Source organism: Homo sapiens, chromosome 12, assembly GCF_000001405.40.
Source record: "Homo sapiens chromosome 12, GRCh38.p14 Primary Assembly".
Lineage (NCBI taxonomy): Eukaryota > Metazoa > Chordata > Mammalia > Primates > Hominidae > Homo > Homo sapiens.
Genome location: NC_000012.12, coordinates 57,160,883 through 57,184,322, shown reverse-complemented (window position 1 = coordinate 57,184,322; position 23,440 = coordinate 57,160,883). Strand labels below are relative to the sequence as shown.

General features: G+C 55.5%; 1 protein-coding gene across 1 annotated transcript in view, besides 4 other annotated features; it reads right to left on the bottom strand.

The window, feature by feature from the left end:
- LRP1 (LDL receptor related protein 1) overlaps nucleotides 1-23,440 on the bottom strand; it is an 84,879-nt gene that overhangs the window by 29,039 nt on the left and 32,400 nt on the right. The window contains exons 13-37 of the mRNA NM_002332.3: nucleotides 23,208-23,430; nucleotides 21,805-22,006; nucleotides 21,340-21,465; nucleotides 18,378-18,518; nucleotides 18,114-18,239; nucleotides 17,277-17,393; nucleotides 16,799-16,879; nucleotides 15,016-15,183; nucleotides 10,973-11,155; nucleotides 10,343-10,543; nucleotides 8,618-8,863; nucleotides 8,217-8,414; nucleotides 7,078-7,282; nucleotides 6,732-6,896; nucleotides 5,720-5,964; nucleotides 5,302-5,433; nucleotides 4,767-4,994; nucleotides 4,367-4,541; nucleotides 4,182-4,276; nucleotides 3,844-3,993; nucleotides 3,516-3,656; nucleotides 3,032-3,166; nucleotides 813-944; nucleotides 414-548; nucleotides 109-238 (exon numbers count right to left, since the gene is read on the bottom strand). Coding sequence (NP_002323.2) covers nucleotides 109-238; nucleotides 414-548; nucleotides 813-944; nucleotides 3,032-3,166; nucleotides 3,516-3,656; nucleotides 3,844-3,993; nucleotides 4,182-4,276; nucleotides 4,367-4,541; nucleotides 4,767-4,994; nucleotides 5,302-5,433; nucleotides 5,720-5,964; nucleotides 6,732-6,896; nucleotides 7,078-7,282; nucleotides 8,217-8,414; nucleotides 8,618-8,863; nucleotides 10,343-10,543; nucleotides 10,973-11,155; nucleotides 15,016-15,183; nucleotides 16,799-16,879; nucleotides 17,277-17,393; nucleotides 18,114-18,239; nucleotides 18,378-18,518; nucleotides 21,340-21,465; nucleotides 21,805-22,006; nucleotides 23,208-23,430 — 4,080 coding nt within the window. The remainder of the gene's footprint in view (nucleotides 1-108; nucleotides 239-413; nucleotides 549-812; nucleotides 945-3,031; nucleotides 3,167-3,515; nucleotides 3,657-3,843; nucleotides 3,994-4,181; nucleotides 4,277-4,366; nucleotides 4,542-4,766; nucleotides 4,995-5,301; nucleotides 5,434-5,719; nucleotides 5,965-6,731; nucleotides 6,897-7,077; nucleotides 7,283-8,216; nucleotides 8,415-8,617; nucleotides 8,864-10,342; nucleotides 10,544-10,972; nucleotides 11,156-15,015; nucleotides 15,184-16,798; nucleotides 16,880-17,276; nucleotides 17,394-18,113; nucleotides 18,240-18,377; nucleotides 18,519-21,339; nucleotides 21,466-21,804; nucleotides 22,007-23,207; nucleotides 23,431-23,440) is intronic.
- Nucleotides 1,212-1,261: a silencer, noted in NCBI's record as "silent region_4575". NCBI's record gives its function as "represses an Ori minimal core promoter by ATAC-STARR-seq in GM12878 lymphoblastoid cells {active_cell/tissue: GM12878}" and the evidence as "EXISTENCE:reporter gene assay evidence [ECO:0000049][PMID:35858748]".
- Nucleotides 6,560-7,759: an enhancer, noted in NCBI's record as "CDK7 strongly-dependent group 2 enhancer chr12:57570347-57571546 (GRCh37/hg19 assembly coordinates)". NCBI's record gives its function as "activates an origin of replication core promoter dependent on BRD2, BRD4, P300/CBP, MED14 and CDK7 cofactors, with strong dependence on CDK7, by STARR-seq in HCT116 cells {active_cell/tissue: HCT116}" and the evidence as "EXISTENCE:reporter gene assay evidence [ECO:0000049][PMID:35650434]".
- Nucleotides 10,992-11,205: a silencer, noted in NCBI's record as "fragment chr12:57566901-57567114 (GRCh37/hg19 assembly coordinates)". NCBI's record gives its function as "represses an EF-1alpha promoter that drives an FKBP-Casp9 reporter gene in an ReSE screen in K562 erythroleukemia cells {active_cell/tissue: K562}" and the evidence as "EXISTENCE:reporter gene assay evidence [ECO:0000049][PMID:32094911]".
- Nucleotides 16,983-17,277: an enhancer, noted in NCBI's record as "tiled region #9665; K562 Activating DNase unmatched - State 8:EnhW". NCBI's record gives its function as "activates a minimal TATA promoter and a strong SV40 promoter by Sharpr-MPRA in K562 cells {active_cell/tissue: K562}" and the evidence as "EXISTENCE:reporter gene assay evidence [ECO:0000049][PMID:27701403]".

The window sequence follows — 23,440 nt, the reverse complement described above, 5'->3', positions numbered from 1 at the left end:
TAGGGTGGGGGTGGAAGTGGGGGTCAGTCCTCAGACCCTGGAGGAGACAGGGCCTCATCAGCATGGGCCATGGGCAGAATGACAAGGCCAGTCTTTCCAGCTCCTCACCCTTTCTCCGGGTGGACGGTGATGGCCCGGGGCTTGTCTAGACCCTGGGAGATCACCACGTAGCGGAAGGAGCCATTGAGCCGGGCGACCTCGATGACATCAAAGCCCTGGTCTGTCCAGTAGATGTTGCCTAAGGAGGGAGTTGGTGGGGCTCAGGGAGGTTAGGTGAGGACAGGTGGACCTGGTGTCTCCAAGCTCCCAGGCACCCCTACAGCTCCTCTTCCTGCTCCCGCCAACTCCTCCTCTCACTTCGTCCCCCAGTCCTCTGCCACACCCCAAGCCCCACAAACCTGCCCACTGCTCACCTGCGATCCAGTCCACTGCAATGCCCTCCACACGGCCAATGCCATTGGTCACCACGTCTTCACGCCACGTCTGGTCCCGCTTGGCCCGGCTGATCGTGCTCAGGCCCATGTCCACCCAGTAGATGGTGTCATTTTCTGGAGGTGGAGGAGGTGACATGGGGATGCCCAATAAGGCAGGGGTAAGGTGAGGGGTCAAAATCTCACAAGGCTCAAGACAGAGGTGAGAGAGTGCCGGAGGGGCCAGGTGCTTGAAGGGGAGGTGGAGTCAGGGTGGCAGCTGTAGCAAGTGCCCCACCTCAGGCCAATTCAGGCAGCCTCTCACTGGACCCTCAGGGCACACCACACCACCCCTAAAGCTCCTACGCCACGCCCAACTCCCTCTGCCACCAAATGGCTCACCAGCGTGGAAGTCGATGCCGACAGCCAGCGAGGTCCCGGACACTGGGACCAGGGCATCTGACTTGTCATTGGGATCCAGGGGAATTCCCCTGATTCCCTCATGCACAGAGTACAGGAGAAAGGAACCTACGCCTGAAAGACAAGGAAACTTAAGGCATGGGTATCGCCAACACTCCCTTAAACTTGGTTCCTGTCACCCTCCAACTGTTCTCTGCTTCTCCTTTGATATCATCCCCCCCCACCATCATCCCTATCCTCCACCCAGCACACACACCCTAGCCTGAGGCCAGAGCATGGGCCGGGAGGAAGCGCACCTGGCTGGTAGCTCTGGGGAACCACCTGCAGGACCCCTAGCCACCATGAGAGGGCAGCAGAGACTCGGATTTCTCACCCTGTGCTCTGCCGGCCTCCACCCAGCACAACCCAACCCTGCACCCCTGCAAGTTCCTTAGGGAAAGTCTGGGAGTTCAGACCAGACAATCAGGACTAGGTGACTCCAAAATCTAGACTTCCAGTTTGGTGCTCAGCCTGATCCTAGTTTCCTCTTTGTCCTCCCTCTGTCTGGTCTATGCCACACCCTCTCTCCAACATCAAAAACTCAACCCCCTAAGGTCACTCCGAAGCCAGTCTCATTCCCAGTTATCCCATTTCTTTTTCTTTTCTTTTCTTTTGTTTTTCTTTGTTTGTTTTTTTTGAGACGGAATTTCACTCTTGTTCCCCAGGCTGCAGTACAATGACGCGATCTCGGCTCACCACAACCTCCGCGTCCCAGGTTCAAGTGATTCTCCTGCCTCAGCCTTCCGAGTAGCTGGGATTACAGGCATGCACCACCATGCCCGGCTAATTTTGTATTTTTAGTAGAGACAGGGTTTCTCCGTGTTGGTCAGGCTGGTCTTGAACCCCGGCCTCAAGGTAATCCGCCCTCTTTAGCCTCCCAAAGTGCTGGGATCACAGGCATGAGCCACGCACCTGGCTCTTTTTTTTTTTTTTTTTTAATTGAGATGGAGTCCTGATCTGTCGCCCAGGCTGGAGTTCAGTGGCACAATATTGGCCCACTGCAACCCTTGAACCTTCCCGGTTCAAGTGATTCTCCTGCCTAGGTCTTCTGAGTAGCTGGGATTACAGGTGCCCACCACCACGCCCAGCTAATTTTTGTGGTTTTAGTAGAGACGGAGTTTTGCCATGTTGGCCAAGCTAGTCTCAAACTTCTGACCTCAAGTGATCGGCCGGCCTCAGCCTCCCAAAGTGCTGGGATTACAGGCTTGAGCCACTGCGCCTGGCCCAGTTTTCCCATGTCTTGAGGCACCACTACCCATGCACCTCAGAATCCTCCCTTGCCTTTATCCCTTTGATACAGCACATCCCAAAGTGAATCCCCACATGGTCCCTGGTTGCTCAGACTCAGTGAAAAAAAAATGAATGGTCAAGTGAGTTTTGGAAAACCCCAAACGCTTGAAAAATTCTTGGCACACATAAACATATTCAAGGCTCTGAGAAGTTCTGCAGCACAAAACACTTTTAAACTTTGTTCAACTCAGAGTTTCTTTTGGTAAAATCTACCCACATCAAAGAGGGAGGCTCCTAGGAATGCACTTTTGGGAAATGCTGTCCCCCAGCAAGCTCATAAATCAGTTAGCAGGTTCTTGTGAAATGCGTCTGGGTTTCATTTCTTTTCTTCAACCCTTACTGAGCCCAGCCCAGGCCCATCATCTCACACTCTGATTACTCCTAATGGCCTCCTAACTGGTTTAACCGCCTCTGTTTCTTCCCCACCACCATTGCGGCCAGGTTGATCTTCCCCAAACATCACTTTCCAGGCACTCCTGGCTCAGAACACAGGAGCCCCGCCTAGCTCACAGCCTTATCTCCAGGACTTCCCCACACTTTGCCCACCACTCTTGGCTGGGGCTCCTGCACACACCTTGCCTTGTGTATAGTTCCCTCTCCTTTGAACAATGCATCCAAATCCTACTTGTCCTAGAAAACCCAGCTCAGAGCATGCCTCTTCCATGCAGCTGCCCCGATCTGCCTGCTGACATCTATTTTTCCAAAATCCTACTGGAGGCACTGGAGAGTCATAGCCACTTCATAGTCCAGTGTCCCCTACACGACGAATGTAGTCTTGTCCCCAAGGTAAGAAGAGGAAGGTGGGGCTGTAGGGTAGGAGGGGTCAGGGTTGGGGAGCTGGGACAAGGCTGGGAGGAAAGCCAGGCACTGACCCTCGCAGGCCTGCTGGCCACTCCGGAGGCTATAGCCGGCTGTGCACATGCAGGAGCGGGTCGTCTCTGACGTGGGCAGGCAGAGCTGGGAGCAGTCACCGTTGTTGACACTGCAGGGGTTGGTGCCCTTATGGTCTGGGGGCAGGTGGGAGGCAGAGGGAAAGGGTTAGGTGGCCCTCCTTGGGACCTCAGGGTCAGGCTTGGGCTGCTCAGAAACAGGATGGTCACTGACTACCCTGGACCTAATGGGGGTCACCACCCTACCCAGCTCTCAGGTTTTCTGTCCTCCTGGGCCCCTGGCCTTGTGAACAGGGCTGCTGGGAGCCTACAAGGCGCCTTTGTGGTAAGGAAACAAGGAGCCCCTTTGGGTGGTGGGTACAGCCTAACCCACTTACTCCCTTGCCCCATGGCCCTGCAGCCTGCAGCTCTGGACGGCTCCCCTGTTGCCCCTGAGCCCCCAGCGGCCGCCCGGCCTCGCACCTACCCAGCTGGATGCTCTCGTCATAGACCTTCATGTGCATCACCAGGGTGGTGCTGTTCCGAAGGACCACGGAGCCCGAGCCGTCAGCCTTGCTGCATGTGCCCATCTTTTCCGACACCTGATCAGCCCACCACAGCTTGTCCCCTGGGGCAGCAGGAGGGGATGAGACCCTTGGGAAGGCCCCACACCCAGCTCTCCTGAAGGGCCCATTGGCCCTAAGTCATCAGGCCCGCCCCACATGGTGAGAGACTGCCCCAAGCCAGCCCCTGTCTCCCAGTAGGTCTGGCCTGGCCTGCTCTGCGTCATCTCTGCTTCGCCCAGCAGCCCTCACCCATGATGGCCAGGGCGGTGGCCTTGCCCAGCTGGCTCCGCATGGCATCGATGACCTCCAGCCCACTCCCATCCAGGTTGCAGCGGTTGATGGTATGGTTCCCGGAGCTGATCCAGTAGAGTTTGCTTTCAGGGAAGTCAATAGCCAGGCCTGGAAAAGGGGGAGTCACTGCCGGGGAGTCTGGCCCAGGGCTGGGGATCCAGGGAAGGGAGCAGATGGTGAGAACAGGCACTAAGCTAGGGCTCTGGGGAGGCTGAGGGGCAACTGAAGGACCCTGCAAGCACCTGCTGGTCAAGGAATTAGGGAGGGGCTGTGGGGGTGGGCAGGGAAGCTCGTACCCACGGGGCCCTTCTGGCCACTGAAGAGCAGGGTGCGATTGCTGCCATCCATGTTGGCCATGCTGATGTTGTCACCATCGGTCCAGTAGAGCTTCCTGGGGGGAGGGTGCCAAGAGGGAAAGGTCAGGGTCCTCTTCTTCCCAGCCCCACACCCCATGCTCCCCGGCCCTGGGCCCTAGACTGACCCACGCAGAGGGTGGACGACAAGGCCATGGGGCTGCTCCAGGCCCTGCACCACTGCGTTCTTGAAGGAGCCATCCAGCCGGGCCACATTGATCTGCTTCTTATTGGTGTCATAGCTTGTCCAGAACAGGTTTCGGGAGACCCAGTCCACAGCCAGCCCGTGGGCATTTGGCAAGTCTGGGGGCACAAGTAGGGAGTCAGTTGTTGGGTGTCTGCAGGGCAGTGGGTCAGGAGGGGAGCCAGTGTGCCTTCTGGAGAAAAGGGATCAGGAAACCAGGCTGGAGCACTGAGGGGGAACAGGACTGGGAGAAGGACCACTCGGACCAAGTAGACCAGGGTTGGGAGCAAGGGGCGGGTGGAGGTGCCCATGTCCACTGGTGGGCATCCAGGGCCAGGAAGAACCTGCAGAGACGACTGTCTCCACGCCTGTGCCGTTGATGAAGGCCCGCTTGATGGCCTGTGTCCGCACGTCAGACCAGTACACACGCTGCTCGCGGGCATCGTAGTCTAGCACTGTGACGTTGTCGATGTCGGGCACCGTGAAGGAGATGATGTAGTTGTAGTAGGGAGCATCCAGGTCCACACCTCGGATCTCCATCTGACGTGCGTACAGCAGGAACTTCTTAAACTCTGTGGGGCATGGGCTGGTCACTGAAGGCAGTCCCTGCCTCTGTGCTTCCCACCAATCCGGTTTCAGGCCCTGCCTTCTTCTGGATCCGTCTGTTTGCTACTGGCCCTTGGCTCCGTGGACATACCCCGCTGGGTGCAGCCCCCCTGGCAGACCTGCAGCCCCTTCTCACAGTGGCTGTCTCTGGAGCCTCTCCTATCGGGACCCTCCCGACTGGGACTCTGCCTTAGCTGACAACCGGGATCCTGGGGCCTGCGGCCTTCCCTCCAGCCTCAGTTGCTCACTGGCTCTGGAGGGAGGGGCTCCTACCATAGCAGGTGGTGTTGTCCTTGTGGAGCTTCATGAGGTGGGGGCAGGCGCAGGACACGGTCCGGTTGTAGTTGATGAGACACAGGTGGGAGCAGGGGCCCTGGCCCCCATTGGCCTCACAGGGATTGGGAGCTGGGGGCAGGGTGGAGAAGAGAAGAAGCCAGAGCATCCTGTGACTTGCTGCTCCCTACATGGACCACCCCTTCCTCGCCCACTCTCCTCCCCCTGTTCCAGCAGCCGCTACTACTAGACCCTTCTCTGCTGCTAGACAGTGCCTCTGTCAACAGCCGGCCTACCCCTGCCATCCCAGCACAGACTTGCTCCTGTTCTCACTGCCCTCTCCTCTCCTAAGAGCTTCTACAGCTTCTAAAGAGGCTGCTGGCTCCCTTCCGGCTGCTCGAGGCCCCGAGCCCCTTACCCATGGGCTGGCGGGAGGGGTGGTACACCTGCAGGTCAAAGGGCTGGGTGTTGGTCCTCTGTACCACGGTGACATTGTGGCCGGTCCACTTGTTGGCCTTAGCCAGTGTGTTTGTTCGCCAGTCAGTCCAGTAGACCTCCCCCCCGTACAGCGTCACTGCAAACGGGTGCGACAGGAACTCGTGTCCCCGAAGCACCTCCATGTGGCCAGAGCCGTCGTAACGGGCTGAGTAAATGGCATCTGACCTAAGAGCATGATGGAGCAGAATGAGGATGCCAGCTGGGATCTCAGCCCTCAGAGCTCTGCCCAGGTGCCCACCCTCTGGGCCCTGGCCACAGCCCTCCCAGCGAAGAGCATGGGACCATTCCCTCCCCTAAGCCTTGCTGGCCAGAGCAGACAGACAGAAGGACCAAGGTGTGAGAACCCAACAGGTCCAGGTTTCACCTCTCAGGCCCCGATTCCCAAGCCCCAAGGGAATCTTTCGGTCACTTCTCCCCAGGGCTGCTGTCAGCACTCAGGGCTTTGATGAAAGTCAGAAAAAGGCACCCTCAGCGTGAACCCCGGGGGGCGGAGCCTGCAGTGAGCCGAGATCGCGCCACTGCACTCCAGCCTGGGCGACGGAGCGAGACTCTGTCTCAAAAAAAAAAAAAAAAAAAGAAAAGAAAAAGGCACCCTCCCTGGGCAGACCAATTAGAAAGAAGTTTCCCCTCCCTCTGGGCAGACACAGCCCCAGCAGAGGGAACAGAGTGGAGAGGACAGGTGAGTGGAGAGGATGGTACAGTGTGAATAACCACAGCTGATGGCCCTGCTTCCGCCTCCTCTACCTGCCCCCTCCCCTCGGCCCTGGCCTCCCCACGCCCCTCCGTCCTCCTCCTCCTGTGCCCAGTCCTTTGCCACCGTTCCTAGTTCTAGATCCCTTGGTCCTTCTCATCACCCTCATCACCACAGGTTCCTCCCCACCCCGTCCTGGTGCCACAGACTTGGGCCTTCTCAGGGCACAGAGGGTGCTGACCTGGCGTCAATCCAAAGGATGCGCTTCTCCAGGTAGTCCACGGTGAGCCCGTTGGGCCAGCCCCCAGAGCCGGTCTCCCGGTGCACGGTGCGGCGCCCAGCCCCACTCATGGAGGCTGCCTCAATGCGGGGCAGGCTGGCATCCCAGTCTGTCCAAAACAGGATCCTGGGGAGTGGGGAGGGGTCAGGAGGGCTAAAGTCAGGGCCCTCAGGGAGCGACTGTGGTGGGATCGTAGGTAGAGGGTGGGAGGAGGCAGATGGCACTGAGGAGTAAGGTGTCCCTGGCCAGGCTGAATGGGACTTCAGGGGGGCCATGGGGCCAGGAGAAGGCTGGGCAAGGTCCTCACCCATCCCGGGGATCCAGTGCGATTGCCCTTGGGTGCTCAATGTCACCGGCCAGCAGGGTGGTCCGGAGGGTCCCATCCAGCTTGGCCACCTCGATCTGATCCAGGTTACTCTCCACCCAGTAGATGTTGCCTGCAATCCAGTCTACAGCCAGGCCCTCGGGTGTGGCCAGGCCATACTGAATCACCACCTCGAAACTAGTCAGGGCTGGAGAAGAGAGGGCAGTGAAAGGTTAGCGTCTCCTGGGGAGCTGTGCATGAATGTGTGAAATCCTGGGAGCCCTCGATGACCCACCCTCAACCCTGGCACTTCTGCCAAAGTTTCTGATGTGCCCATATTCAAGAGTAGGACTCCTATTGTCTCCCCAACTTTTTTTTTTTTTTTGAGACAGGGTCTTCTGTCACCAAGGCTGGATGCAGTGGCATGATCATGGCTCACGGCAGCCTCAACTGCTTGAGCTCAAGTGACTGCCATAAAGATTTTTCCATGCTAATACATTATGTGTGTGCCTCATTGTTTTAGAGACTGTTGCACAGTGTGGATATCATCACAGTTTACTTAGCCTCCCCCCTCGTTGATGGACATTTGTAATGGTTTCAAATTCAAGTTTGTATTATTACAAACAATACAAACTTCTCTAGTAAAATGTGCCTCTTAGAAGCCTTTGCTCAGATGTCACCTTCTCAGGGGACCTTCCTTGACCACACAACTGAAAACAGCCTGTTTTGATCACTGCTGCATGCCCACTGCCCAGTGTGTACAGTGGGCACTCACTATTGTGTGTGACTGAAGGAAGTCTGGGGTGCACCACGCTGCCTGGGACAGAAAGCAGCGTTCAGGTACGCCACTCCTAAGTGGCTTTTTTCTTTCAAGCCTGCAATTCTAGATCTGGGGAGCAGAGCTCCAGGCCATTCAAAGGTAAGGCTGATCATTTTGTTAATTATCAGGCTGGCAGTTCTGCTGACGATAATTACGGGGCGTCAGGCATGGAGACCCACAGCAAAATCTAACCCAATGAACAGAAGTGTGGGGGATGGGGGAGCCAAGCCTCTGCTTTGGGGCCACTTGGATGGGACCTGTGGCCCCTAGCGCCTGAGCGCTCCGCCTGTGTGCATCCTGCCTGGCAGCAATCGGTGGTCACCTCCGTTGTCCAGCAGCTTCCCGCGGTAGATCTTGTCCTCCACCACGTCGGTCCAGTAGAGGGCGCTCTGGCTGAGGTGGAAGTCCAGGGCGATGGTGTTGCGCAGGCCGGGCACCAGGACGCTGTAGTCTCCTTTGTGAAGATCGATGCGCCGGATTTCATGGCGGTTGGAGAAAATGATGAACGGCTTGAAGGGGTCTGGGATGGGAGGGATGTGATGGGGTCAGCAAGGGGCTAGCTGCCTGTGTGCCACCCGTCCTGGCGCAGGCAGGTCTCTGCTGGTCCGGGCACTGGGGGCTAGGGTGGAAAACTCAGCCTTTGGCACCTGGCCACCAAGCCCAACCCACTGCAGCTCAGAGGCCTGCCTCGGCCTGCCCCACCACACCTCACTGTTGTCTCACCCAGGCTGCGGCAGCTCTCGCCGTCAGGTTCCAGGACCCAGCCCTCGTAGCAGGAGCACTTCACGCTGAACTTGTTCTGGTCGCACTTTTGGCTGCATTTGAGATGCTTGGCACAGTAGCTCTGGATCTGGCAGGTGTGGTTGTCGGGCCCCAGCTCCATGCCCAGAGGGCAGGAACACACAATGCCTTCGCCAGGTGCCACTGAGCAGTTGTGGCTGCAGCCACCGTTATTCAGAGAGCACTGGTCTAGGGGAGGGGCAGGCATGGAACAGACCCAGGGTCAGAAGCTGAGAGGAGGCAAGACCACGGCCCTGCTGGGCCCCAAGTCCTGGGCAGCCTGGACCAAGTCCTTGTGCCCTGCCCACGGCCCCATTCGTCTCCATTCCTGCTGAGCTTCAGGCTGAGCTTCAGCCCAGGACTTCCTGGGCTCCCTCAGGACCAGAGTTGGGACCCTTGCACCCACCAGCTGGCACCATACCTCCCCTTCCCACAGGGAGCACCCCTCAATATCTCTGTCTGGTCTCGATATGTTCCTGCCTTCTTGGGCCCAGGGCGGGGGCCCCAGCTTTTTGCCTCCCTGGGAGGGACCCTGGGAGGTCCTTAGGTCCAGTCCCCTTGTGCTGATCTCTCCTGATTTGGAGGGGTTTGGGGTGGGGTGCAGCAGGGCCTATACCACCCTTGGTCCTCTGGCACACCCTGGAAACTGCCAGCCTGACTGATAGCCTGTCGGCAGTTCTCCCAGCCAGTCCCTGTGGCCTTATCTTCCACTCCTCCCTTCCAAGGAACTGGGGGCTCTGCCTGGCTAAGAGGACCAGATAAGGCTGCTCTGCTCCTCATCCCCAAGTCACACCACATGGTCCTCCCTGACTCCTGGACTCCCCCAACCTCATCTCTTTTGGTCTTGAATGGGCACCCTCCTCCCCTTGCCTGTTTGTTTGTTTGGGATGGGGTCTTGCTCTGTCGCCCAGGCTGGAGTGCAGTGGCAGGATGTTGGCTCACTGCAACCTCCGCCTCCCAGGTTCAAGCGAGTCTCCTGCCTCTGCCTCCCAAGTAGCTGGGACTGCAGACATGTCCGGCTAATTTTTGTATTTTTAGCAGAGACAGGGTTTCACCATGTTGGCCAGGCTGATCTCAAATTCCTGAGCTCAAGTGATCTGCCCGCCTCAGCCTCCCAAAGTGCTGGAATGACAGGTGTGAGCCACCGCGCCTGCCCCCATGCCTTCTCACTCACTCTGCAAGTACTGCCTGTCCTTGGGAACCCCATGCAATCCCCACATCCTCCAGGAAGCCTGCCCTGACCATCAGCAGTCAACCCTGGTGCCTTTGTCTCCACAAGAGCACTCCGCATCTCTCTGTGGTATGCATGTGGGCAAGGGGTCTGAGTCTCCACAGCAGTTTAGGAGCTGTACTACCTTGGCCCAAGTCTGGGGGACCACTATGGAACCCCTCCATGCCTCAGTGCTCCCATCTGTCAAACGGAGAAAACAGAGCACCTGGCCCCCAGGGATGCCTTGTGGATAAACTGCTCTAATGGCGTGGCTCACTCAGCACAGCGCCATGGGGAGCGCCAGGTCCACACAGGCTGCTGGTGACCACTCTGGGTGCTGCTCGCCTGCCCGGCTGCCAGAGCTGCTCTCTCCTAGACTCAGGTCCCCCAAAGACTGTCCTTGGCCCAGACTCCTACCCAGCCACCCTCCCTACCCTTCTCCTGGGACCAGGCCTCACCGCAGAGCTCGCCCTCATCTGAGCCGTCGCCACAGTCGTCGTTGCCATCACACAGCTTGTCAGGGGGCAGGCAGACTGAGGTGTTGTTGGCACAAGGGTGCGAGGGTGGCCTGCAGGCCAGGGACTCGCAGTTCTCCTCGTCCGAGTTATCCTCACAGTCATTGTCGCCATCACACACCCACGCTTTGCTGATGCACCGAGCTGAGGGACAGGTGCACTATGAGGGCCCAGGCCCGGGGACTGGGGCTCCCCCTGCCCTTCCTTCCAGACCCTGTGGGCTTCTCTAATAGGGTCAGGATTGCAACGCTGTGGGGTCCACGAGGAACCCCGAGGCTTTTTGGGTCAAATTCACATAGGCAACAAACAAGGCAGGAATCTGCAGCAGGAGGTGCTGAAGCTCAACTCTGGTAGGGTTTTGGCTTCTCAGGTCCTCTGTGCAGGCTCTGGCCCTTCATGCCTTCCCCCACCCATGACACACAAGCTTCCTCTGGACTGCCTTTTGCCTTGCACTGTCCCCAGCACCACTCCACACAGCACAGTGCCATCCCCTTTGCCGCTACTCTGCTCTCAACACGGTCTCCTCCTGCCCACATTGTGCTGTTCCAGACGCCCTCCAACCATCCTCTTCACCTGAGTCCTTGCAGCCAAACTTGACACTGGGATCGCAGACGTGGGTCACTCCCTCACAGCTCTTCTCATCGCTGGAGTCCATGCAGTCAGTGTCCCCATCGCAGCGCCACCGCAGGGGGATGCATAGTCCATCCAGCCGGCACTGGAACTCATCAGTGTGGCAGCCACCAGGGGGCCTCGTGGCTGCAGAGGGACAGTGGAGGGCCTCAGGAGGGAGGGGTTGCCCAGGTCAGCCCTCCTCATCCCTGTGCCCTGCCACCCCGGTAAGCCCAGCCTGGGGATATGAGCAGAGGCAGGCCTGGAGAGTCTGCCAAGCTTTGCTGACACTCCTTGGAAGCACCAACTCAGTAGTAGAGTCAGGAGGCATCACACCTCCAAGGGCCCCACAATCACCTCATCTAATCCCCCCATTGACACCGGAGATCTCAGCTGGAGAAGCAATTTGCTAAGGCCTGAGCCCAAATGCCCACCTCCTTAGCCTCTATTTCATTCATTCATGCCACAAATGTTTACTGAGTGCCTCCTGTGTGCCAGGCGCTGTCCTGGGGCCAGCACTGAACCAGACAAAGTCCCTACCCTCATGGAGCTTAGGTTCTAATGGGGAAGAGAGACAAGACATAACCCATAAATCTAGACTGTAATTTCAGGTATTGATAAAGCTATGGAGATAAAGCTGGGTAGAAGCTGAGAGGGATGGGGGTGATCTGTCAGGTAAGATGGTCAGGGAAGACCTCTGGGCAGAAGGAATCTGAGCAGAGGCCTGCATGAAGAGCGAGTGAGCCCAGAGGATCCCTGGAGGCACACTCCAGGCAAGGGGAACAGCCGCTGCAAAGTCTCATCTCCGAGATAGGACTACGCCAGCACTTCAGAAAACAGCACACAGGCCAGGCGCGGTGGCTCACGCCTGTAATCCCAGCACTTTGGGATGCCAAGGCGGGCGGATCACGAGGTCGGGAGATCGAGACCATCCTGGCTAACATGGTGAAACCCTGTCTCTACTAAAAATACAAAAAATTAGCCAGGCGTGGTGGCAGGCACCTGTAGTCCCAGCTACTTGGGAGGCTGAGGCAGGAGAATGGCGTGAACTGGGAGGCGGAGCTTGCAGTGAGCTGAGATTGCGCCACTGCACTCCAGCCTGGGCGACAGAGAGACTCCATCTCAAAAAAAAAAGAAAGAAAAGAAAACGCCACAGCTGCCCGGGAGGCAGAGCTTGCAGTGAGCCGAGATCACGCCACTGTACTCCAGCCTGAGCGACAGAGGGAGACTCCATCTCAAAAAAAAAAAAAAAGAAAAAAGAAAACGCCACAGCTGGAGTAGAGTGCAGGGGGAGGGGAGGGCAGGAATGCAGGTCAGAGGGGTAGGGGTGGGGGCCCTGCAGGCCGTGCAGAGGGGCTTGGCATTTGTTCCAAGGGTGCAGGGAGCCAGTACAGGCTGGAGGGCAGGGCCAGGGCATGATCTGACTTATGTTGTCAGGATCACTCTGGCTGCTGTCCTGAGATCTGACTCAGGAGGCCAGGAGAGGAGCAGGAGCACTGCCTGGTGGAGCCCCACACTCATACACTCATGCTGCCACAGACACCCCGCTCCTCCCCCTTCCCTACCCTGGACCCAGCTGATGCTCTCATCTCATGCCGGGACTTTCAGCAGCAGTCTCTGAACTGATTTTCCTTTCTTGGGGCCCCTGAACCTCTTCTCAATCTAATCTTCCTCTAGGGCTGTGTTCCGAAATCACCTCCTACATCACAGCACCTTCCGGCTTGGAAATCCTTCAAAGGTTCCCAGTGCCTCCCAAATCAAGCCTCTCACGATTTACACCTGCTGTCATCATCTGCCCCCTTTGAGGACAGCCTCATTCCCCACTGTCCCTGCACGAGCCTTTCCCTCGGTCTGAACGGCTCCACCTGGCCCCACTGTCACCCTACGGAAGTGCTCAGTTTCACCCTCTAAGTCTTGACGACAGCATTCTCCGGACCATGCCATCCCCACTGGAAGACCCTCCCTCCTGTCCATTTACCTGCAGTCTAAACACAACTCCTCCTGAATGGTCCCAGACCATCCAGCTCATACCATAGTTAACAACTGCTACCAATAGTGACACCCTGCTCCTCCACGCCAGGCCTCACATACCTCAGCTCATTTCATAAAGGAGGATGCCCAGGCTCAGGGGAAGCAACTTGTCCAAATTTGCCCAGCTTATCTGGGAGCGGCAGGGAGCTCTTCTCACCACACCACACAGCCTCCAGAGGCCCCTTCTCAGAACCCTAAGGGATATCACCTGTGCCCCTCACCCTCCCCTTCACAGAGATAGCCCTGGAGACGCAATTACTATTTCCCAAGCTTCCTGTGGCCTTCTCTGTCCTCCCTCTCAGGGCAGGGCTCAAGGTGGGCACTCAACGCTGTCCAGTCTTCTCCTACTAGGGTGGGAATGTGCCCTAACTCTATAAGGCAGAGGCTGTAATCTAGTGGTCCATGGGTCAGATGAGGCCTGCAGGAAGAGTTTGGTCTGTAGTTTTTTTTAAACTTTTTTTTTCTTTTGAGACAAGGTCTTATTCTGTCACCCAGGCTGGAGTGCAGTGGCGAGCTCACAGCTCACTGCAGCCTCAACCTCCTGGGCTCAACCTCTCACCTCAGCCTTCTGAGTAGCTGGGACTACAGGCATGTGCCTCCATGCCCAGCTAATTTTGTTTATTTTTTGTAGAGAAAGGGGTCTCACTATGTTGCCCAGGCTGGTCTTAAACTCCTGGAAACAAGTGATCCTCCTGCCTTGCCTCCCAAAGTGATAGGATTACAGGTGTGAGTCAACACACCCAGCCTTTTTTTTTTTTCTTTTCTTTTTTCAAGATGGGTTCTCCCTATGTTAACCAGGTTGGTCTTGAACCCCTGGCCTCAAGTGATCCTCCCACTTCACCCTCCCAGAGTGCTGGGATTATAGGCATGAGCCACCATGCCTGGCCTGCACCCAGCCTTTTAAAACTTCTAAAATCAACTGCCAGTTGGTATGGCTTGAATTGTGTTCCCTAAAAAGATATTAGTCCTATCCCATAATACCTGTGAATATGACTTTATTTGGAAATAGTGTCTTTGCAGATGGTCAACTTAAGATGAGGTCATAAGGGTGTATCCTAATCCAATATGACAGGTGTCCTCACAGAAAGGGGAAATGGGGATCTGGTGACAGACATGCCCACAGGGAGGACACCGTGTGAAGATGAAGGCAGAGATCGGGTCAAGCTTCGACAAGCCAAGGAGCTGCAAAGATTGCCAGCAAACCGCGGAGGCTGGGGAGAGGCCTGGGACAGAATCTCCCACACGGCCTCAGAAGGAACCCACCCTGCCAACAGTTGGGTCTGGGACTTCCAGCCTCCAGAACTGTGAGACGAGAGAAACTAATACTGTAGTGTTAAAAATTTGGTAGTTTTCACATAAAAATCTGCACATCTTCCAGAGCTAGGAAGCCAGCATTCCTTGAGAGGGCCCATCCCTCCAGAAAACTAGGTCCCCACCGCCCCCGAGGCTGGGCCCCAGAGGCCAGGGCACTGGGAGCCTTGTGGAGCCAGGCCCTCTCTCCTCTGTCTCTTCAGGCTCATTCATCCCTGCCTGCAGCATCCTTTTCTCAAGCTACTATTTACCAAACACAGGCCGTGTGCTGAGCACTTTTCGTGCGTGATCTCACTAAACTCCCACATCAGCGCTGTGATGTTGGTGCTATTATTACCCCACTTTGCAGACGAAACTCACAGAGGCCCATGGAGATTAAGTAACTTGCTCAAGGCCACCCAGATAATAAGCTGCAGAGCTGGAGCTCAAACCCAAGGCCACCAACTGCAAAGCGCATGATATTAACAGCGTGTGGCAATGATTTTTCGGCAACCTCCCTCTCCCACAGGACCGGGAGCTCCTGAAGGACAAGAGCCATGCCTAGGCTACCTCTGGCTCCCAGATGGTGGCCGACACACCGTGGGTCTGAAAGACAGATGGATAGGCTGGGTGTCTGATGCAGGGGGCTCGATCTCATCCCCACCCCACGGGCCCCTGGTGCCCACCCTGGTTGGTGCAGTTGGCGTGTGTCTCATCACTGTAGTCTCCGCAGTCATTGTCCCCATCGCAGGTCCAGTGCTCGGGGATGCAACGCCCGCTGTTGCACTTGAACTGGGTGCTAGAACAGGAGTGGCTGCAGCCGGCTTCGTCACTGTTGTCCCCACAGTCATTGTCTGGCGGTGGGGGAAGAAGGGGAGAGGCAAAGCGGGAGTTGGTGGAGCAGCCTTCTCTGTGATCCCAGCTTGGGCCCCCTGCCCAGAACCCACCCTCAGCCCACCCTAACCCCCCCACTGGGAAAATAACAAACAGAAAAGACACAGAAACTGCATAGACTGCAGCATGCACCATGGCCCACGTGGTCAGGATGAGGAGGAGGAGAAGGCTCCTGGAGGGCCCCTCACTGAAGCTCAGAAAGGCTGGGTGCAGGGAACATTAAACATTTCATTTCCCCTTTCTGGCAGGTGTGGGAACAGGGGTCTGCTTGCTTTTGGGGGAAAGGCAGGGGTTTCTCTAGTTTTGGAGGGAGAGAGGTAGGTGGGGTGCAGGCGTGGCCGGCTTGAGACAAGCTTTACAGGCCTGCCCTGAGGCTGGCACTGCTGAATACCATGCTCTGGGTGCCTGGCTTACAGGGGCCCTGCCTGTGGCTGGCAAGAGTGGGGGCCACTTCTGGACCAAGCTCGCTGAGGCTGGCTGAAGGAAGCTCCTGCTTTCTCAGCATTGGGTGGGGGCTGCTTGACTTGACCCTCTGTATTTATGGGACATGTGGTGGAGACTGGGGTTTGGGTTATGTTCCTGCCTCTTTTCCAACTGGATTTGCTTCTCTAACTCTCTCCTCCCCTTGCATCTTGGGCTTTTTGTCACCACCTCTCTGTCATCTCCTTTCCTCAGAGGCTCCCTCTGCCGTCTCTGCTTCTTTCCTGACCACTATTTGCTTTCTCCCTCTGTTTTCTGCTCTCCCTCCTCTCTGTTGCTTTTTCTTCATATCCTAGCAGCTCTGGAGTAGGGGCCTGGAGAACCTGCAGGGGGCTGGGGCCAGCTGAGCTCTGGGTGATGGTGCATGTGCTTCTATGCACTGACCGGCAGGCTCAGGACAGGTCTGTTCGTCAGAGCCGTCCCCACAATCCTTCTCTGAAACACAGAAACCGCCGGGGCAACCATTGGCATGCGAGACACAGAAAAAGTGAGGGGCAACGTGGCACTGACCCAACACATCCGCTCACACATCAGCTGGGACAGGAACCACTGGGGCAGCACGTCACAACACAACACAGACAGAACAGAGCCCTGAGACACCACACACGGCAGTCACCTGCCCGCACATTTACACACATACTAGCCCTGGTGGCTCAAGGCTGACATCACCTGGTCCATGGCTATCTGCCAGGTGGGCTTCTGAGCCTGAAGCCCAGAGCCTGAGGGGTGCACCAAGGACTCCAGGAAATGGGGGTTTGCAAGGAGAAAGGAGTCAGGCACCGGTTTCTCCTTGCTCTGCCTCTCTGGCCCATCTCACTCATCTCTCCCTGGCCTCCGAGCCCTACTAGAGGGTGGGCAGCTCAGGCCCTGCCTGGGGTAGGAATGACACTAAAAGGTGATGGTCTCCCCTTGGTCCATCGTGGCTCCCTCCAGGCATTTCTGACTTCTCCTGTTTTCTCCCAGGCAACCCAGCAGGGATTCAGTGTCCTGGAGGGAGGCCCTGCTGGATTCTGAAGCCCTTTGCCTTCCCTGGAGGGCCTGGCTGTAGCCTCTAGCTGTCTTAGGAATCAGCAGGTGAGGAGAGCAAGCTCTTACCATTGTCGCATCTCCAGTTGATGTTGATACATCTGCCATTGTTGCAGGTAAACTGAGTCAGGGGGAAGCAGGTGGGATAGGCTGTGAGGAAGAAAGAGTAGCTGAGTAGGGCCTTCACGATTACACAGCATCACAGTACTGGGCAGGTGAGTGCAGCGGCCCTCCCATAACCAGCAGCCCTTAGCCCAGTCAGGAAGGGTGGGGAAGGCCCCGCAGCAGTGCCTCGGCTGGAAACTCCACTCACTCATCCCCATGAGTCAGCAGACACAGGACCTGTGCTGAGTGCTTTTCCTGCATGAGTTTGCTGAGACACAATGCTGTGATGATGGGGCTCTCCTCTCACAGAGGCCACCGAGATTAACTCACTCAAGGCCACCCAAGTGCTGGGTTGCAGGTGTCTCCGGCACCCCCAACTGGCATGCTCTCAGGATGCCCCTCCCCCAGGCCCAGCCTGACTCCCTCTGCCCATCCCTCTTACCACACGAAGCAGACTCATCAGAGCGGTCCCCACAGTCGTCATCCAGATCACACGTCCAGGAGATGGGGATGCAGCGGCCACTGGCACAGGAGAACTGGTTGGGGGGGCAGGTGCGGGCTGGGGGGCAGGGATGGGTGTGAGTACTCATTGTCCTGACCCTCTCTTCACTGCCTCTTCTTCCCTATTATTCTCTGCCTTTGGTGTCCCTTATTTCCAAGGATCCAAAACCATTTCTCTTAGAGAATTCAAAACCATCTCTCTGGTCTCACTGGATGCTTTACTCTTTCTCTCAAGGGGTCTCTGGTATCCTCCCAGGAGGAGATCTACCCTGCCTTGTTCCTCCTCTCCAGTCTAGAGCTATGCTCTGTCCCCTGCAAGCTCAGCCCTCTCAGTTTCCCAGGCTGGGAAGGGGATAGCAGACCCCACTCCTGCTCAGGGCTCCATCCCCTCTGCCCTAAATTCTTTTGCTCCTTTCATTTTATTTTTAGAGACAGGTCTCGCTCTGTTGTCTAGGCTGGAGAGCAGTGGCATGACCATGGCTCACTGCAGCCTCAACCTCCCAGGCTCAAGTGATCCTCCCACCTCAGCCTCTCAAGTAGCTGGGACTAGAGGTGCACGCCACCACGCCCGGCAGTTTTTTTAAATTTTTTTTGTAAAGAGTGGGAGGTCTCACTATGTTGGCCAGGCTGGTCTTGAGCTCCTGGGCTCAAGTGATCCTCTCACCTTGGCCTCCCAAAGTGCTGAGATTATAGGCATGAGCCACTGAACCTGGCCCCCTCGTCTCCCCTGCCTCCTTGACTGAGGGGTGCCTCGTGTGATCTGAGCCCCGCTCCACACCTGAACAAGTGGCATTGGACTCATCTTCACTGTTCCCACAGTCATTGTCCCCGTCGCAGAGCCAGCGGTTGGGGATGCACCGGTTGTTCTCGCACTTGAATCGGTCCGAGGGGCAGGTGTGCTGATCTGGGGAGGGAATGAGTCAGGGGTCAGCGAGAAGTTGGGTGCCCCCAGCTTCCTGCCCGCTCCAGTATAGGCACTGCCAGAGCCGAGCTGCCCTGCAGGCCTGCCATCCAACAGGGTGGGGCAGGGCGTGTGACTCACGGCAGAGGGCTGGGGCCTCATCACTGTTGTCCAGGCAATCGTTGTCTCCGTCACACTTCCAGCGCTCCTGGATGCAGCGGCTGTTGGCACAGGCAAACTCGCCTGGCTGGCACTGGGGTGGAGGCACGTAGGATGGGTTCGCTGTGGGCACCACAGGATCGTGAGGGGGAAAGTCAGACCCCGGTCGTGGGACAAGTACTAAGCCCTTTGCACCATTTTTGTTTGTTTTACTATTTTTTAATAATACAAAGTAATTTTTTCTAGTACAAAATTCCTCATGAAACAAATTATCTGGATGGAAACTGCAATTCTTTCCCAAGCAACAATAGTGATGTTTACTCTACTTAATGCTTACTGTACTTCAGTGTGACCTGAGAATCAAATGGTGTCCAAGAGAGCCCATGGCCTCTATACCTCTGTCACCACCGAACAGGCTCTCCCCACTCCTTCCCTGACTTCTCCATGAACTTCCCCTTGGAAGTCATCTCCGGGAACCCCAGGGCCCTGCCCCGGTCCCTGGACTTTTTATTTCACAGTTTCATCGGTCCCACCAGCAGAAGTGAAGATGGCACCACATCCGCGCAGGCTCCACCCATCCTGTCCCCAGAACGTATGCCTCACCATCACTATCTGTCTTGGCCCATTAGCAGCTAAATCACGACGTCCTTTGTCTGTGCCTTGGTAACCTCCACAAGTGCAGGCTCCTGTGTGAGCCCGGTCTCCAGACCTCACAGCTGGGCGCTTGCCTGGTCTGACTCATCTCCCACCCCTCTCTAATCTCTGAAACTTCCCATGGCCCCATGGGTGGCGATTTCCCCTCCCGTATCCCATGGACCATGGACCTGGAGGCTGGTATGTGTCCTCCTTGCTCCTCACTGCTGTTCCCTGGACTGTTCTTCCCCTTACATCATGCTTCTGTACCAACCTCTACTTCTGGAAGGCTCCCAGGCTGCACCCTGTCATCTGTAAGGGTTTTTAGCTCCTGGCTCACCAGCACTTTCTCCAAAATCACTCCTGGTTCAGTTCTTGGTGACTTCAACTTCCATGTGGATGATCCTCCCATTACCTTGGCCCCTCCATTCCTTAACCCTCTCAGCCAACGCCCTCTCCTGACCCCAGCCACTCCCTCCTAGGTGTACACTATGGCTGCACTGACCCATTTTCACTTCCGGGATTCTATCCTAAGGAAACCATCCAGAATATGGGCAGGCATGATGATGTGACAAATAGCAGAGGCATGATTACAAAACAGGCTCTGGGTCAAACTTCATGGGTTTAAATCCTGCTCTAACTTTGGGCCTCAGTTTTTTCATCTGTAAAATGGGGATAATAAAACCACTTTTCCCACCAGGATGTTTTTAGGGGTAAACAAATTACTGCAAGGGAAATGTCCATGACAGTGCTGAGCACACAGTCCATGCTCAACAAACATGGGTTGTGATTATATCAAAAAACTGGAAACAACCTAAACATCCAACAGTAGAGAAACGGTTGAGTAAATTACGTGAAATTTATCAAATGAAATATATTTTAGCCATTAAAAATGCTGCTTATGTACTCGTTACATACTGTCAAGTGACAAAAGCAGGAAACAGAACAGTATGTGCAGCACGACTCCATTTATGTGAAAGTAAATCATAGGGAAACATTTGGGAGGTGGTTCCCCCAAATGGTAACAGTGGTTATCTACAGGTGGTGGAATCTGGGATGATTTGGGCTTTCTCCTTTGTGTTTTTCTATACTGTTTACTTATTTCATTGTTTTGTTTTGCTTTTTGAGATGATGTCTTGCTCTGTCGCCAGGCTGGAGTGCAGTGGCACAATCTCGGCTCACTGCAACCTCCGCTTCCCAGGTTCAAGCGATTCTCCTGCCTCAGCCTCCCAAATAGCTGGGACTACAGGCGTGTGACACCATGCCTGGCTAATTTTTGTGTTTTTAGTAGAAACGGGGTTTCACCATGTTGGCCAGGCTGGTCTCGAACTCCTGACCTCAAGTGATTCACCCGCCTTGGGCTCCCAAAGTGCTGGGATTACAGGTGTGAGCCACTGTGCCCGGCCTTACTTACTCCGTTTTACAATGAACACAACCCATTTTGAATAAAAAACAAGGCTTGTTAAAATCATGCAATAACAACACAGAAAATGCTGTGACACTTGAACCGAAAAGGGCAGAAGACATTTTATAAACAGATGATTACAGCTATGTAAAAAACAATTATAACCCCCCTGAGGAAAAAAGAATGGTGTTCACTTTACCACAATGCTAACAATATATGGTGCTCACTGGTGGGATTTGGGCTTTTTTCTCCTCTCTAATTTCCAACATATATATTATATGTATTTTTTAATGTTAATTTTTTTTTTTTTTGAGACAGAGTCTCCATCTGTCGCCTAGGCTGGAGTGCAGTGGCATGATTTCGGCCCACTGCAACCTTTGCCTCCGGGCTTCAAGTGATTCTCCTGCCTCAGCCTCCCGAGTAGCTAGGATTACAGGCACCTGCCACCACGCTTGGCTAATTTTTGTATTTTTAGTAGAGATGGGGTTTTGCCTTGTTGACCAGGCTGGTCTTAAACTCTTGACCTCAAGTGATCAGCCTGCCTTGGCCTCCCAAAGTAATTTCCAATATTTGGAACTATTTATTATTTTACTTTAGTAATGGAGAAATACATTTAAAAGAAGTGAAGGATAATTTCCTCCTTCCATCCATAGCTGTCCATTCTTCACTCAGTTTCCCCTAATTGCCATCCCCTCACAAGTCCCTCCCAGCCTCCCATCTTCCCTAAACTCCCTCCTAGCCCCCAGAGCCTTTGCTCTCCCCCTCCCTTGCTTCCTGTTGGCCCCCTAAGGGCCCCTCATTGCCTCCTTAATCTCTGACTGGGACCCTGGATCCTCCCCTCCCCACTCTTCGGCATCCTCCTGATGGGGTCTGCTTCCCACTCCCACCCAGCCAGGCACCTCATACCCAAGCAAGTGACGCCGTCTGCGTCCAACACCTGGTCCTCAGCACAGGCGCACTGGCGGCTCCCAGGGGTGGCCAAGCACAGGCTGCTGCAGCCGCCATTGTTCACCCGGCATTTGTTGGTGCCAACTGTGGGGAAGGGCCATGGGGAAAGGCAAAGGGAGGAAGAGGTGAGGAGAGGTCAGAGAAGGGATAGGGGAGGAGACACATTAAGATGTGGGGACAGAAAGAGGAAATATGGAGAGGAAGAAGATCATGTTGAAGAACAGGAGACACAGACATGGGGCAGGAAGGGAAATGGGGAACAGAGAATCAGATTGTGTTGGGGGAGTTCTCTTCTCAGGATCCTCAAAAGTCAGAGCCTAGGATCCCTGGGAAGTGCCTTCACTCCCAGGGAAGTCTCAAATCAATGCCTAAGTCCCACCACCCCTTCCAGGTCCCACGCTGCCCCCAGCCCCAAGGAGGTACCTTGCTGCTGCTGGGCATCATACATTCGGATCTCAAAGATGGGGGGCCGCTCACTGCGCAGAAGGGTCACAGTGGGGGGTGCGCCTCCTACACCCCGTTCCAAGCGGTAGACACTGCCACTCCGATACTCAGTCCAGAAGAGGTAGTTGCCATGGTGACACAGGCCAAAGGCGTGGTTCAGCTCAGGACCTTCATACACAATCTAGGGATGGAGAGGATGTTACTAAGGAGTTGGAAGAAAATTGAGGGAGGCCTGTGAGATCACTGTTTTGTACATTCATTTGTCTATGTCCTGGGCATGGGTTTTGCTTTGTTTCCCCCATTAGCCTGGGAGCCCCAGAGAGTGATAGTTTTGCACACAGTGGGATGGTAGATCCTGAAGCCAGCGGGTGATCGAGTGATCCAGCAAGGATGCTGATGGTGAGGTTGTCCATATGGTCCTCTCCTGGGCTCATTCCTATTCATTCATAGTCCCCAAACACACACACGCACACATACGTGCACACACACACACACACACTCATATGCGTGCGCGCACACACACACACTAATGAGCAGACGGGCAGTATTCATCCATTCATTTCTTCAACATTTACCAGGATCTGTTAGGGGCTGAGCTGTAGTAGGTAGTAAGAGGTGAAAACGACACGATCTCTGCCCTTGAGCTTCCCACTGTCTCAGATAGGGCACATACGGGTGATCCAGTGTGAAGAGGGGTCTGGAGATGACATCCTAGGGGAGGTAGCCCCTGAGCAGTCTGCCAGGGGAAGAGGAGCTGGGGTGAACATTCCATGTGGAATGAACTGCATGAGTAATGGCACAGAGGGCAGATGCTCTGTGACGTGTGCTGGGAGGAGCAAGCTGTCTAGTGCTGCTTGTTCAAAGAGTGTTGGGATGAAGGAAGTGGGGAGAAAAGAGACCAGAGAGGGGGTCAGGGGCCATATCATGAAGGGCCTTATATACTAGAACACGTACATGACTCGTGAAGCACATGACAACCCAAATGACCAAGTGTAGAGATATGCCGTCCCTAGGCCCTCACACTTGCAGAGAGTGCAGACACACACCAAGGCATGCCGTGTATCTATGCACACACATGAGGAGGCGCACATGGTGTGTATGCAGAGACTGGCACATGGACAGTCAACTTCACAGACAACACGAATAGACACAAAGAGACGCAAATGGAGGCAATCCTCAAACAAACAACACAATACATAAGACATGCAAGCTCACAGATGTACACATCTATAGATGCACAGAAAAATAGATGCACACATCTATAGAGGCACACAGGCCTGGACACACACAGATACCCACATACTCACACAGAACCTCATCCACGCCCAAGCATGGTCTAGCAACACACACAGATTCCCCCACACAGGCACATGCCTGCCCACCTTCCGGTCTGTGCCATTGAGCAGTATCGTCTCGATGCGGTCGTAGAAGGCATCCACCCAGTAGAGGCGCCCAGCCGGGATGTCCAGGCTTAGCCCATTGGGCCAAAGCACTGTCTTGGAGGTGACAAAGATGTCTCGGTGTGAGCCATCCATCCACGCCCTCTCCAGCCGCCCACGCCGACTGTCCTTGGGGTCCTCCTCCCAGTCTGTCCAGTACATCCACCTGTGGGCAG